This window comes from Homo sapiens, chromosome 15 (assembly GCF_000001405.40).
Source record: "Homo sapiens chromosome 15, GRCh38.p14 Primary Assembly".
In the NCBI taxonomy this organism is placed as follows: Eukaryota; Metazoa; Chordata; class Mammalia; order Primates; family Hominidae; genus Homo; species Homo sapiens.
The window spans coordinates 28279147-28295473 of NC_000015.10; the positions used below are offsets into that span (position 1 = coordinate 28279147).

Consider the following 16327-nt stretch of genomic DNA (forward strand, 5'->3'; position numbering starts at 1 on the left):
AAGCCCCGGCTAATTTTTTTATTTTTAGTAGAGATGGGGTTTCTCCATGTTGGTCAGATCTCCAACTCCCGACCTGAGGTGATCCGCCCACCTCAGGCCTCCCAAAGTGCTGGGATTACAGGCGTGAGCCACCACACCCAGCCCAAAAGCAACTCTTGTAATAAAAGAATAAGAAAATCACATTAGGAAGGAAAAACATGAAGCATCTAAACTAGTTGGGCATTAAACATTACAATCTATCTCCTACCCAGCAGCAAAACAAAATAAAACGTATACAACGTTCAGAACTCATTTTCCAATTTATACTTGAGCTGATCTAAAGCTGTGGCTGGCTTCCACAGTTACTGACAGAAAAATGTCTTTACAATAATGACACAGAGCCAGGCGCAGTGTCTCATGCCTGTAATCCCAGTACTCTGAGAGGCTGAAGCAGGAAGATTACTTGAGGCCAGGAGCAAGACCCCATCTCCACACACACACACACACACACACACACACACACACAAATTGTTTTTATTTAGCCAGGCATGGTGGCATGTGCCTGTAGTCCCAGCTACTCAGGTGGCTGAGGCGGGAGGATCACTAGAGCCCTGGAGTTCAAGGTTACAATGAGCTATGATTACACCACTGCACCCCAGCCTGGGTGACAGAGCAAGACATTGTCTCTCCAAAAAAAAGAAAAGAAAAATTTTATTGAATAAAATAAAATAATGGCACAGATTACACAGCATGGTCTATTACTACATGAGCAAATTGGCAAATCCATTCTCCAGATTATACAAAACATACAAAAAGGGAAAGCAAGAATAAATTTCAGAAGGTGAAGACAGCCTATATTGAAAACCTTAAACTTTCTGAAACAAAACAGTCTGAATTTTATATTTAACTGGCATCAGGATTCTTTCTTCGCTTTATTGTTACCTTTTTTTGTCCACAGGAGGCAGAGAAATACCGCTGCTTTTCCACTTAACTTTGACATTCTCCTGAAAAACGGTTCTATTCAAGGCAATGAAATAGCGCTCCAAGATCACCAGCCTCTGCTTGAGTCGCAGGGCTGAGAGGGTGGTGGTGGCTGACTGGACGGCCAGGGCCTGCTGCTCTTTAACCAGCACAGAAAGACACTCCTTCAGTTCATTCACATCTAGAAAATAAGACAAGAAAACATCTCACCTGTGGACAATGTGGCCACAGTTTGTTGCAATGTTGAGAAAATGGATGATGACGACAGGTAGTACTCGAAGGCATGATATGTGGCAATAATGGTTTTAACCACTTTACACACATGAGCTCAGGCAACCCTCACACCCAGCACTGTCAAGCAGTGCTGTCCATCCATTTTATGGATGAAGAAACTGAGGCACCAAGTGGTTAAGCAACTTGTCCGAGGCCACACAGAGGAGTGCGGCACATGACAGAGACTCTTGAGCCACCATGGCACACTGCCTCTCTCTATGGAAACATCATACAAAAGAAGTTGGCCGGGCACAGTGGCTCACACCTGGAATCCCAGCACTTTGGGAGGCCAAGGCAGGTGGATCACTTGAGGTCAGGAGTTCGAGACCAGCCTGGCCAACATGGTGAAACCCCTTCTCTACTAAAAAAAAAATACAAAAATTAGCCGAGTGTGGTGACGCACGCCTGGAATTCCAGCTACTCAGGAGGCTGAGGCACGAGAATTGCCTGAACCCAGGAGGAGGAGGTTGCAGTGAGCTGAGATTTTGTCACTGCACTCCAGCCTGGGTGACAGAGTGAGACTCTGTCTCCCAAAAAAAAAAGTTACTAACACAGAACTTTGAAGTCAATATTAGTCAATATTTATCAGCAGCACATCTCCTAAACAGAGAAAAACACTAGCCATTATTTTCATGTTACAAAACCAAATTCAATATAAAAACGATGTCTTGATAAAATTACCCAGCATGCATGACTCATGAAGCACATTTATGGACATATTTTAGAGGAAGATAAAGTAACAAGTTAGAATACACATTCTAACTAGTGAGTAAGTGATATTTCATTATATTATTCTCTCTTCTTCTATGTATCTTTGAAAATTTCCATACTAACAAGTGTTTTGTAAGTAGCTAGAAGGCAATCACAGGACTGAAAATAATTCAAAGGATTCTGGTCTTTCAATTAAGCATGTGTCTGCCTCAGAGCACAGATCATTATAAGGGAATTGTAAGTTACCTCCCACCAATCCCCTCTAACAGCACAGCTCCCAGTGGCGAGGTGAGAGCTGGTCTCTTTTGTGCTTGCCTCTCTGCTGCTTACTAGCCTGGAGGCCAGCAGCCACCAGCCTCGCAGCCCTGGATCCTCACAGGTAATAGCAACACCCCTACTGGCTGCCTCCCCTTGTGCAGAAGACATCAGTTTTCTGGCTACCCACTACCTGGATATGCTCTCCACGGGACAGGAGGGCCTTAGAAGGCAGTAGAGAGAAACATCTCACCACTCCCTGGAAAGGCACAGGGTGGCGCACACTGTGCCCAGCACCAGCAGTAGGATGTGAGACCTGGAGCTTTGCAGCTAAGAGCTAATAGTTATTTAAAACGACATGAAGAATACTGAATTGCACACTGGGCTCAAGATGGAGAAGTGAAAGACTGAAAGGTAAAGCAGTGCCCCTGCCCTTCTCAGGGCATCCCCACCGAGCCACCCTTCAGGCAAGGAGCTGGCCCAGCACTTCAAGGGCTAAGCCCTTCCTGAAGAGTCACTGCATTTGCCGCTTTTAAATAATACATCTCCCTTCTGCTTGGCTGCAGAGCCCAGAAACAACCCCAAAGCTCCAAGAGGGCAGCTCTGCCCTTGAGCACCCACGTGCCCTTCTCCCTGACACCCTCCTGCTTATTCCGTCGCAATCCTGACTGCCCAGTCCATCAGTCATGTACACTCTGAAACAGTGGGTGAGAAAATACACAAACCATGGACACCACTGGGGAGTCAGAACTCCTACCCCTGCCTCACAGTAACCAGGGGCCTCTAGGCAAAGTGGGAAGCCTGGACTTCGTCTCCAGCTGCCAGCGATGAGGTGAAGCACGCCCTATCCCTGCCAGAGCAGGGTCACAGAAAGATTTAACCACTTACACAGAAGATTTAAGTAAGACCTAGAGTCGCCTAACAACATGTTCTATTGAGAAAGTCACTCATGATACCAAGAACCAGGAAGATCTAAAACCAAATTTTAAACAGTTATAGAAATACCACGATGAAAGATGTTGGAATAATGTGGCAAATAATTAAAAACGGTCACGATAAAAAGGCTTCAACAAGCAATTACAAACACATGTGAAATAAATGAAAAAATAGAAAGCCTAAGACAAGAAAAGGAAGACAAAAAAAAGAAACCAAATAGAAAGTTTAGAACTGAAAAATACAATAACCAAAATAAAAAGCTCAGTGAATGGACACAGCAGTAGAATGGAGGAAAAAGGGCAAAGAATCAGTGACATAGAAGATAGAAGTTATCCAATGTGAATAACACAGAAGAAATACATGCCCCCAAGGCAGGGCACGGTGGCTCACAGCTGTAATCCCAGCACTTTCGGAGGCCGAGGCAGGCGGATCACAAGGTCAGGAGTTTGAGACCAGCCTGGCCAACATGGTGAAACCTCATCTCTATTAAAAATACAAAACTGAGCTGGGCATGGTGGCGGGCACCTATAATCCCAGCTACTCGAGAGGCTGAGACAGAAGAATCATTCGAACTAGGGAGGCGGCGGTTGCAGTGAGCCGAGAACGTCCACTGCACTCCAGCCTGGGAAACAGGGAGAGACTCCGAAGATGGGAAGGGACGGGAAGGGATGGGAAGGGACAGGAAGGGATGGGACGGGACGGGACTGGATGGGACGGGATGGGAAGGGAAGAGAGAAAGAAATGTCCCAGCAAAAAAAAAAAAAAAAAAAAAAAAAAACCAGTCTTGGGGACCTATGGGACTATAACAACTCCAGTCACTGAACTCACGAAGGGACAGGAGAAAGAAGGTGGGGTTGAAACTGTACTCTACGAAGTGATGGCTTAAAAGTTCCCAAATTTGGCAAGAGACATAAATCTACAGATCTTAGGTAAGCAAACCCTAAACAGGATGAACCCAAAGAAATCCAAACTAAGACATACAATAATCAAACTCCAAAAAACAAAAGACAAAACATTTCAAAAGCCACTAAACAAAAACTGCCTTAACTATCGTGCATTAACAAGTCAAATGACAGCGAATTTCTCATCAGAAACCATGGAGCCCAGCTGAAAGTACAAAATATTTTTTAAACAATGAAAAGAACCATTAACCCAGAATTCTTATATCCAGCAAAAATGTCCTTCAGGAATGAAAAGGAAAGCAAAACATTCTCAGAGGAAGTGAAACAGAATTTGTCACCAGAAGACCCACACCAAAAGAAAGGCTAATGGAAGTTCTCTAAGCAGAATGGCAACCATCAAAGAAAACCCTGGAACTTCTGGAAGGAGGAGATGACAAGCACACCAACGCATAAATACAATAGACTTTTCCCTCACCTCTTGACTTTGCTAAATTACGTCTGAAGGTTCAACCAAAAATTATAACATTGTCATATGTGGTTATCAATGTAAGTAAATGAAATATTTAAGGCAAGTATGTTATGAACAGGAGAACATAAAGGAACGTCAAGGGAGGTAGTTTCTATATCCCTGAAGCTGGTAAATGACAACACCAGGTACAATCTGATAAGTGTTCATATATACACAGGTTGAGTGTCCCTTATAAAATGCTCAGGAGCACAAGTGTTCCAAATTTCAGATTTGTATCAGATTTAGGAATATCTGCATATAAATAATGAGATATTTTGGGGATAGGACCCAAGTCTAAATACATTCATTTATGTTTTATATATAACTTATACACAGAGCCTGAAGGTAATTTTATACAGCATGCTTAATAATTTTGTGCATGAAACAAAGTTCGTGCTAAGTACTTATGAATGGAATTTTCAATTTGGGGGCATCATGCTGGAGTGCCAAAAAGTTTCAAATTTTGGGGCATTTCAGATTTTGGATTTTGGGTTTAGAGATGCTCAATCTGTATGTAACATATTACCTAGAAAAGCCACTAAAGAAGCTATACAAAAAGATACACTCTAAAACACTACAGATAAAATAGAATGCTAAAAATGGTCAAGTAAACCACAGAGAGCCAGGAAGAACCAAACCGAAAAAATGAAAAACAGAAGAAATAGAAAATACAAAACAAAATGGCAGTGTTAAGCCTCAGTTTACTAATAATGACATTAAATTAAATGTAAACAGTCTAAATGCATCAATTAAAAGACACCAGGAGAGCAGACTAGAGAACATGATCCAACTATATGTTGTCCATAAGAAAGTGACTTCAAACAGGCAAACTGAAAATAGAAGTATAGAAAAAAAAAAAGATCATGCAAACATTACTGAAAGGACAGCAGAAGTTGGCTACATTTATATCAAATAAAGTAAACTTCAGAGCAAAGATAATTACCAGGAAGGCCGGGCACAGTGGCTCACGCCTGTAATCCTAGCACTTTGGGAGGCCAAGGTGGGTGGATCTCAGGAGTCTGAGACCAGCCTGGCCAACATGGCAAAACCCCATCTCTACTAAAAATACAAAAAGTAGCTAGGTGTGATGGCAGATGCCTATAATCCCAGCTACTCAGGAGGCTGAGGCAGGAGAATCACTTGAACCCGGTGGGGTTGGAGGTTGCAGTGAGCTGAGATCGTGCCACTTCACTCCTGCCTGGGCAAAAGGAGCGAAACTCCGTCTCGGAAAAAAAAAAAAAAAAAAAAAAAAAAAAAAGATAATTACCAGGAACAGATGGCAACATTACAAAATGAGAACTTGGTCAATCCACCATTAAGACGCAGCAATTCAAAACGTGCATACACCAAACAAACAAAGAAACAATGAATAGAACTGAAAGGAGAAAAAGACATTTATACTTTTATAGTTGGAGACCTCAAAGTCTCTCTCTACAGCTGATAAAATTAGAAGACAGAAAAGCTGCCAAGATATAGAATTCAACATCACCATCAATCAACTGGATCCAATCAAAATTTACAGAACACTCCAGCCAATAACAGCAGAATACATAATCTGTTCAAGCATCCACAAAACAAATACTAAGTTAGAACATATTCTGAGGCATAAAACAAACCTAACAAATTTTTTGAAATTAAAATCACACAGCATATGTTCCCTCAAACAATGGAAACAAATTAGAAGTCAACAAGAGAACAATTACAGGAAAATTGCCTAACTCTCAGAAACTAAACAATAAACTTCTAAATAATCCATGGATCAAAGAGGAAGTCTCAAGGGAAATTTTAAAATATATTCTGAACTGAGAGAAAATGCAAGTACAATACATCAAAATGCATGGGAAAGAGCTACAGTGGGTGATGAGAAATTTACAGCACTAAATAAATGATATATTAGAAACTTGGAAACAAATCAATAATATAAGTGCCCGCCTCGACAACCTAAAAGAAAAAAAAAATAGCAAAATCAACCCAAAAGTAAGCAGAAAAGAAGAAATAATTAAGGAAAGAGTAGAAACAAAGTGAAAACAGAAAACCAATAAACAGTAAAGCAAAAAGCTGGTTCTTTGATAAGATCAATAAAACTGACAAACCTCTCTAAGCATGACTGACAAAAAAAAAAAAAAAAGACATAAATTACCAACATTAGTGATGAAACGGACTCTAAAGATACCAAAAAAGATAATTAGGAATTACTAGGAACAACTCTACACATGTAACTTTGACAACTTGGGCAAAATGGACTTATTCCTCAAATAATACAAATTACCACAACTCACCAAATATAAAATAGATCATTTGAATAGCCCTACCACTATCAAGAAAACTGAATTCATAATTCAAAGAATCCGAAAAAAAAGAAATTACCAGACCCAAATGAACTCACTGGATAATTCCATCAAACATTAAAAAAGAATTAACACGGACTCAAAACAATCTCTTCTGGAAACTAGAAGAGGAAAAACTTCCCAATTCATTTTAAGAAGCTACTATTAAGAAGCTAATATTAGAAGCTAATATTAAGAAGCTAATATTAGAAGCTAATAGAAGCTAATATTAAGAAGCTAATATTAGAAGCTAATATTAACATTTTAAGAAGCTAATATTAGGTACTGTACCTAAAGACAGTACAAAGTACAGAACAATATATATACAGAGACACAAAAATATACAGCGAATTATTAGCAAGTAGAATTAAACAATATATAAAAAGAATTCCACATCATTGCCAAGTAGTTTCATTCCAGGAATGTAAAGTGGGTTCAACAGTCAAAAATCAATGTAACCCACCCTATTAATAGGCTAAAGAACAAAAATCACATAATTACATATCAATTGATTTAGAAAAAGCAAATGACAAAATTCAATACTCATGAATGATAAAAATTCTCAGAAAATAGCAACAAACGGGAACTTCATCATCTTGATAAACAGCATTTACAACACCTTAAGCTAAAACCTATGCCAAAAACAATGTCAGAAAGGGTCCTCCCAGACCTATTTACACGGCAGAGAGAATCATTAAGAATGATTTAGATAGTTACTAAGAGTTTACTCCCCTAAAAGATTACAACACCCAATGGCCAGCAAGCCCTTTTCATTAGACAAAAAGAAAAGCTGTGATCTGTCAACACTCTCAGAAGGTTCACTGTGAAATGTGCACTTCTGAACTCCTGCTGAGGGCCTACACGCTGCAATGTTGAGAAGCAAGTGTCCAGAGGTCTCCTTGGAAACATTGCAAAAAAAATGTGAGGGACTGATGGATGAATAGAGGGACAAAAAAGTGGAGAGAGCGGTGATAAAGCACGTGGGATAATGCCAGCGGCACAGTCTCAGGTGGTGAATATGTGCGTGCGCGCTGTAAAATTCTTTCAACTTTTCTGTATAATTTTTTTCATAATAAAACGTTGGAAAAAAATAAACCTGTGAAAAAGGAAGCTTTAGTCAAACATATCTAAGCAAAAGAAAAAACAAATTCTAAATTCCTATGGCTCAAATTAATGTGTTTTTCTTTTTAGGCTGAGATGGAAGAGCAAAAAAACAGAAAAAGAAATGAAAGGAATAGGAGCTATTCTAATAGCTACAAATTCCACCTGCAGTTTGATTAAAGATGGAGTGGCTCAAGAATATGCTTTGAATCCAAGCCCCTTCAAGGCTGCCAGGTAGAGAGTCGGTTCTGCGAAAGCTCTGTACCTGTGAGCAAGCAGAGCTTCCAAGTAAACCCTCTTCATTAAAGCCACCCTGAGTCAATAAGCTGGGCTTTAATCTGAGCAAGAAAGGTGTATTTCGGGTCTAGTTACCTACCCATAACTGTAGGTACTTTGATACCTAGGTGAGGGGAAACAAGGAGAAAGGCAAAACAACAGATTTTTAAAATCACAACAAATCTTTATCAAACATTTGTGCCAGGCACTGACTTAGGAGCTTCAAATGCATTACTTCATGTCAGTTGCACAGCAACTCTCTAAGTACTTTCACTTATTTTATATATAATTTTAATTATTTACATTATATTATACTTATTCCTCTTTTTTTTTTTTTTTTTTTGGTTTGAGATGGAGTCTCACCCTGTCACCCAGGCTAGAGTGGTGGTGCAATCTTGGCTTACTGCAAGCTCCGCCTCCTGGGTTCACGCCATTCTCCTGCCTGAGCTTCCCGAGTAGCTGGGACTACAGGTGCCCACCACCACGCCCAGCTAATTTTTTTGTATCTTTAGTAGAGACGCTGTTTCACCGTGTTAGCCAGCATGGTCTCGATCTCCTGACATCATGATCCACCCACCTCAGCCTCCCAAAGTGCTGGGATTAGGCGTGAGCCACTGCTCCCAGCCACTTATTCCTACTTTATACATGAGAGGCCCAAGGTGAGACAAAGTGATTTGTGTAGAGTCAGAGATAAAGCCAAAATTGATACCCAGACAGACTGAAAAACTTCTCTGTCAGAAGATCTAGAAACGGTAAAGGGAGATCTTCAAACTGAAGGAAAACGATAACACAAGGCAGCTGGGACAGAAACAAAACCTTAAGGGCCCATAATGGTAAAATGTAAGTTAACATAAAAAACTTTTTTCTGGCCAGCCATGGTGGCTCTTTGGGAGGCCGAGGTGGGTGGATCACCTGAGGTCAGGAGTTCGAAACCAGCCTGACCAACATGACGAAACCATGTCTCTACTCAAAAATACAAAATTAGCCAGGTGTGGTGGCGTATGCCTGTAATCCCAGCTACTCGGGAGGCTGAGCCAGAATCGTTTGAACCCAGGAGGGAGGCAGAGGCTGCAGTGAGCCAAGATCATGCCATTGCACTCCATCCTGGCAGCCTGGGCAACAAGACCAAAACTCCGACTCAAAAAAAAAAAAAAAAAGAGGCCAGGTGTGGTGGCTCACACCTATAATCCTATAATCCCAGCACTTAAGGGTGGCTGAGGCACGTGGATCACCTAAGGTCAGGAGTTCAAGGCGAGCCTGGCAAACACAGTGAAACCCTGTCTCTACTAAAAATACAAAAACATTAGCCAGGCACGGTGGTGCCTGCCTGTAATCCCAGCTACTAGGGAGGCTGAGGCAGGAGACTCGCTTGAACCCACGTGGGGGAGGTTGCAGTGAGCTGAGATTGTGCCATTACACTCCAGTCTGGGCAACAACAGCAAAACTCCATCTCAAAAAAAAAAAAAAAAGACTTTTTTTTCTCTTTTCAAATTTGAGGGGAAAAAATGTAATTGCCTATTTAAAGCAAAAACAAAAACATCATATTGTGGGGTTTATACCATGTTTCACTTGGACATGACACAGCAACACTGCCAACCAAGAACATGTCAGAAGCAGGAAGCTACAGTCAGAGCACTGCCCCGCAGCTCAGGCAGTGTAATACCATTTGAGAGTGGACAGTGACAAGTGAAAGATGTAACTGAAAACGCCAGAGATGATAGATTTAAACCCAAGTAGTCTAAAGATTCCAAATAAAAAACAGAGGTTGCCAGGGTGAATAAAGAAGCAAGACCTAATTATATGATACCTGAAAGAAATGCACTTTACACATACACAAAGGTTGAAAGTGAAAAAAGCTAAACTTGGCAAACACACCACGCAAACACCAAATCAGAAGAAAGGAGAGTAGTCAGACCAAGGTGACTTCACAACAAAGAATGTCACTGGAGATAAAGGGGGTCAAATTTACAAATATGATGTAAAAATCCTAAAAGTGCATGCACCTTATAACATTCTCAAATACATGAAGCAAAACCTGCAGAGCTGAGAGAAAATAATCCATAATTAGCATGAGAGATTTCAATCCTCCTCAGAAGAAAGAGGAACTAAGCAGTGAAACTGCTCTTCATGCCTCCCCAGCACGATGGAGATACTCCTGGGAAATAAAGCCAGTCGCTGGAGCTGATCTCCCCAGAACGCTGAGACTGGCTTCTCTATAAATAAATGACTGGTATTCGCTAAGAGAAGTGTCCTTATCTATGAAATGTTTTTAGCAAGATGTGGTTAGTTTAGGATTGTGTTTGGTAAACATACCTAAAATCCATGGACTTACGGGACATGGCTCCCTGGAAAACGTTCCCTAAGGTGTATAAACTATCTGACTACAAAAGGGAAACACTGCACATCCTTAATGCTCCTTGTGCAGTGAGAGGACGACACACCTCAGTGAGAGGATGACACGCCGCAGTGAAAGGACGACACATCTGAGAGGAAGACACACCTCAGTGAGAGGACTACACACCTCAGTGAGAGGATTACACACCTAAGTGAGAGGACCACACACCTCAGTGAGAGGACAACACACCTCAGTGAGAGGTCTCATCTCTCAGGCGGGGTTCAAAGAGGACGGACCTGCAGGAGTTGCACAGACTCTCCCACATCTCTCCCCACTTTGCCTGAGCACACAAGTGAGGATATAACTTGTATCTTTAAAGTTACTAAATAATCAGGTACGGGTAAGATCTCTGAGATTCATGTCAAACTAATGCAGTAAGCCAACCTTGTGTGTTAGTTCAACTCCTCTCCTAACAGTGAATAGAACAAGTAGGCAGAAAATTATTTCAAGTCAAGGATACCTGAACACTATCAACTTGATCTCATTAAGCTTTACAGAGCAGCAAAACACACTTTTTTTTTTTGAGATGTAGTCTCGCTTTGTCACCCAGACTAAAGTGCAGGGGTGCAATCAAGATTACAGGCACCCACCACCACACCCAGCTAATTTTTGTATGTTTCATAGAGACAGGGTTTCACCATGTTGGCCAGGCTGGTCTCAAACTCCTGACCTCAAGTAATCCACCCACCTCAGCCTCCCAAAGTGTTGGGATTACAGGCATGAGCCACCACACACAGCTACATTCTTATTATGTGTGCATGAAACATTCCACAGAATACACCATATTCTGGGGCTTCAGACAAGCCTCAACATTGAAATCACAGAATATGTTCTCTGACTACAACTAATTTAGAAATTAACAGGAGATATTTGAAAATCCCCAAATACTTGGAAATGAAATAACAATTTCCAAATAATAAGCGGGTAAAAGAAGAAATTAAAAGGGAAATTAGAAAATATTTTCAACTGAATGAAGATGAAAATGAATAAACATTTCCAAATTTGTGAAATGTGGCTAAACAATGCTTAGAGGGAAATTTATATTATAGTTTTGAACACTTGTTAGAAAAGACAAAAAATCTAAAGTCAATGATCTAAGCCTTTGCCTTAAGAAACTAGGAAAGACAGAAGAGCAAATGGAACCCAAAGCCAGCAGAAAAAAGGAAATAATAAAGAGTAAAGCAGAAATCAATGAAAAAGAAAACAAAATCAATAAAACCAACAACTGGTTCTTTGAAAAAACTCAAATTGATAACTTCTGGGAAGACTGATCCAAACGGAAAGAGAGAAAATACAAGGCACATTTCAGCACATTTCTGGATAACAGGTAGTACATGCTGGTACTTACTACATGCAAGATAATAGCATACGCACTTTGTCTGGCCTACTGTGCTGATCCTATAATAACCTACGAGGTAGGTACTACTATTAACCCCAAATACGAATTTTTTTTTAAGAAACAGAGACCCTGTCACCCAGGCTGGAGTGTAGAGGCACAATCATAGATCACTGCAGCCGCAAACTGCTGGCCTCAAGCAATTCTCTCACCTCAGCATCCCAAAGTGCTGGGATTACAGGCGTGAGATACCATGGCAGGCGTCACAAATTATTTTTATATATGTACATTTACATATGTATGTCCATGCAAGGAAAAAAAACCCTGAATATCCACACCGAAGGGATAATAGTGGCTAACTCTTAGAGGAAAGCTGAAACTGGGGTGGGCAGTCAGGTGAAATTTCTGCTTTTATAATCTATACATTTTTATAAGAAATATTCTATGTATATTTTTAATTGGAATGAAAATGCATTAGACATTTAAAAAATTGAATTACACAAAAAAAAGTAAGCAAAGAATAAATGTATGGGTTTTACTGGGCTGGATAAAGGGAAGAGATTATGAAAGTCCATCCATGATAAAGAACTCCTATAACCCAAAACAAAAACCTCAATTAAAAAATGGAATTAGCCGGGTGTGGTGGTGCACGCCTGTAGTCCCAGCTACTCGGAAGGCTGAGGCAGGAGAATGGCATGAACCCGGGAAGCGGAGGTTGCAGTGAGCCAAGATCACGCCACTGTACTCCAGCCTGGGCGACAGAACAAGACTCCGTCTCAAAGGAAAAAAAAAAAAAAAAAAAAAAAAAAGAGGCAAAAGGGCCAGGTGCAGTGGCTCATGCCTGTAATACTAGCACTTTAGGAGGCCAAGGTGGGTGGATCACCTGAGGTCAGGAGTTCAAGACCAGCCTGGCTAACATAGTGAAACTTCGTCTCTACTAAAAATACAAAAAATTAGCCAGGCATGGTGGCGGACACCTGTAATCCCAGCTACTCGGGAGGATGAGGCAGGAGAATCACTTGAACCTGGGAGGTGGAGATTGCAATGAGCCAAGATTGCACCACTGCACTCCAGCCTGGGCAACAAGAGCCAAACTCCATCTCCAAAAAAAAAAAAAAAAAAAAAAACCAGGCAAAGTATTTGAATAGACATTTCTCCAGTGAATGTATACAAATGGTCAATAAGCATGTAAAAAGATGCTCAGCATGACTACTCAACAGGGAAATGCAAATCAAAACAATGAGATGCTGTACCTACTCACACAAATTAGGATGGCTATCATCAGAAAACAAAAAGTGTTGGTGAGGGTGTGGAGAAATGGGAACCTTAGTATACCGCTGCAAGAATATAAAACAATGTAGCCACTGTGGAAAACAGTTTACTGCTTCCTCAAACAGTTACACGTAGTGCCAGGTGCGATGGCTCACACCTGAAATCTCAGCAACTCAGGAGTGTGAGGCAGGGAGATCCCTTGAAGCCAGGAGTATAAGACCAGCCTGGGCAACACAGTGAGATTCTGTCTCTAATTAGTCAAGCGTGATGGCTGGGCAACAATGTGAATATACTTCATGCCAATGAACTCTACACATAAAAATGGTTAAAACGGTAAGTTTTATGGTATGTATATTTTACCACAATATTTAAATTTTTTATTTACTTTTTTTAAAATTGTTACCAAAAAAATACTAAGAATCCATCCAAGTTATTTAGAAAGGGAGCGTCAGATCAACCTTTCCAAAGTGCCAAAATTCACAAGATTACCTGGTTGCTTGCCCCATACCCAGCTGTCCAGAATTGACTTGGCCCTATATATAGGTGCAGGAGTTTCTTCTTCATCTTTTTTCTCTTTGTCATTCAGATCTTCTTTCTTTGTTCCACTTGGTTCGACACTATCATCTGCAGAATTAAAAATTTTTTAATCTGTCACCGCTTTTCAGAATGCCATACCATTAGTCTCTGCAAATGTCCCTCCCCGAAAAGTTACAACACACATCATTAACTGAATGTTGGACAACGTAAAAATAAAATACATCAATCATACCTGTAACAGACCCAGTATAATTTTCATAAAGAAACCAATATATCGGCCAGGCGTGGTGGCTCACGCCTGTAATCCCAGCACTTTGGGAAGCCATGGCGGGTGGATCACAAGGTCAGGAGATCGAGACCATCCTGGCTAACACGGTGAAACCCCATCTCTACTAAAAATACAAAAAATTAGCCAGCCGTGGTGGCGGGCGCCTGTAGTCCCAGCTACTCAGGAGGCTGAGGCAGGAGAATGGCGTGAACCCGGGAGGCAGAGCTTGCAGTGAGCTGAGATCACACCACTGCACTCCAGCCTGGGTGACAGAGCGAGACTCTGTCTCAAAAAAAAAAAAAAAAAAAGAAACCAATATAACAAATTATTTAAAGCATGTCTTCCAAAGTGATATTCCATCTACTTCCTAGTACATTTCTCAACTGAGAAACTTAAGTCTTTGATATTTACCTACTTCAATTTCACACCAATTGCTTTTATCCAGTGAGTCCCAATGCTTGTGTATCCATGGGAAAAGGGAGGGTGTAGAACAGGAGTATGATTCAAAAATCTTTTAACTCTTTACAAGGCCCTACTCCACTGCCAACTGGGAAGCACTGCTATGCAGAGGCACTGTGACTGATAGCATAATTCAAGAGCACTGGGAAACAAAGGAAAAGCTGAGAAAAATCACTTTAGGCCACTGACAATGTCAAGTTTCAGTCAAAAACAACTGTCATAAAACTCCTTACACAGTAAGCGAAGAGAAGAGAGAACTAACCTTAACCTTGAAGTGTAAACACGTTCCATCACAGAAGGCTGTGACTAAATGTCTAACAACATAATTAGAAAAATGTATCTCAATCGGTGAAAGACACGATATCCCATCCAGATTACAAATAATGACTATCTAAAAATCTCGAAGGAAACAGTTCCTCTGTTTACAACATTTCTGACACCAAATGCATGGACTTTTGCACCAAGTAATTCTCCAGTTCTCTGCGACATCCAGCTGTGTGTCCCACAGTGCAATTCAATTCTGAAACTAACTACCTAGAATTAGCACAGACCCCACAGGTTAATAACAGGAGAGAAAAGGTGAATGCTGAAAAAAATATCCAAAGAACTAATGGCTGAAAACTTCCTAGGTTCAGCAAATGACATAAACCCAGGCAGACTGAAGAATCTGCACAAAGCCCACACAAGATAAATCCAAAGGAAGCCATGACGAGGCACATCATAATCAACTGCTAAACACTAAGGACAAAACCTTTTGAAAAGTGCCACGGAAAGTAGATACAGAAGAATTTCTCGTGTGGCCTGAAATTAAGACTAAATATTACGTGCTGCCTTGACATTGGTAAAATCAAGAAGGCCTCAAATAGCCTAACCACAAGGTCTCCCCTGAGCTCTGCTCTCACGGATAAGATCCCAAAGCCAAACAACCTCCTTATCGCGGAAACCCGACCCCAGCCTGCTCATCCCTGCCGGCCCAGAGTTATTCAAACAAGCCAGTCACATCTTCCCATGGGAAGCAAGGTCACCTCACCCTGTTCTTACTACAAAATGTGCCTCCCACAGCCCCTCGTGGTTCACTCTGTTCCCAAGTGCAGCCCCCGTGTGGCATGCGGTGTCCCCCACCCCCAGGGCTGTGAGCATGCGTGACTAATAAACTGCTATTTCATCTGTCCAGTGTCAGTGTCCTACGTTCAGCCATCCCATATCCCTAGGGCAGGAATCTTCTAGGGTTATAAACAGAACTTTAATCAACCTCTCCTTGGTTATTTTACTGGTTCCATGATACAGCTTTTTCTGTGCAAAAGATCTGAACAGAAACTCACAGAGGATACAAGAGTGGCAAAAAAGAACATGATATTCAGCATTGTTAGCCATTACAGAATTGCAAATTAAAACCACAATGAGATCCCACTAGACTTGTTAGAATGGCTCAACTAAAAAACACTGATAACACCAAGTGCTAACAAAGACACAGACCAAGAGAAATGTTACAGATTGCCAGTGGGAATGCAAACTAAAACAGCCTCCAGTTTACCAAGGTAGACACCTTGGGTCACAGAATACAGAATAGAACCCAGCCAGGAACACAGCTCAGGTGAGAACACAGGTGCTGCTTCTAAAGGCCAGACTCTGTCCTACATGTGTGTGGGGGGGGGGGAGTGGGGGGGAGGCGGTGGGGGGGTCACTAACCACAGCCCACAGGACAAACCCAGCCCACAGCCTCTTTGTGTATGGTCTGAAAACAGGGAAAGTATTTTACTTTTGTTGTTCTTTTGAGACAGAGTCTTGACTCACCACAACCTCTGCCTCCC

General features: G+C 41.3%; 1 protein-coding gene across 10 annotated transcripts in view, besides 2 other annotated features; it reads right to left on the reverse strand.

The window, feature by feature from the left end:
• The window catches only part of HERC2 (HECT and RLD domain containing E3 ubiquitin protein ligase 2), a 211140-nt gene that overhangs the window by 168107 nt on the left and 26706 nt on the right, over window positions 1–16327 (reverse strand). For 9 of the 10 annotated variants that reach the window (XM_006720727.4, XM_006720726.4, NM_004667.6 and 6 more), the window contains 2 exons: window positions 13742–13876; window positions 922–1141 (listed from right to left, as the gene is read on the reverse strand). In XM_006720727.4, coding sequence (XP_006720790.1) covers window positions 922–1141; window positions 13742–13876 — 355 coding nt within the window. Of the gene's footprint in view, window positions 1–921; window positions 1142–13741; window positions 13877–16327 lie in introns of those variants that run through there. The other variant, XM_047433207.1, reaches the window with a different exon arrangement.
• Window positions 2213–2714: an enhancer, noted in NCBI's record as "H3K27ac hESC enhancer chr15:28526505-28527006 (GRCh37/hg19 assembly coordinates)". NCBI's record gives its function as "activates a minimal SCP1, AML or CMV promoter by ChIP-STARR-seq in naive H9 embryonic stem cells {active_cell/tissue: H9 hESC(naive)}" and the evidence as "EXISTENCE:reporter gene assay evidence [ECO:0000049][PMID:30033119]".
• Window positions 12964–13507: an enhancer, noted in NCBI's record as "OCT4-NANOG hESC enhancer chr15:28537256-28537799 (GRCh37/hg19 assembly coordinates)". NCBI's record gives its function as "activates a minimal SCP1, AML or CMV promoter by ChIP-STARR-seq in primed H9 embryonic stem cells {active_cell/tissue: H9 hESC(primed)}" and the evidence as "EXISTENCE:reporter gene assay evidence [ECO:0000049][PMID:30033119]".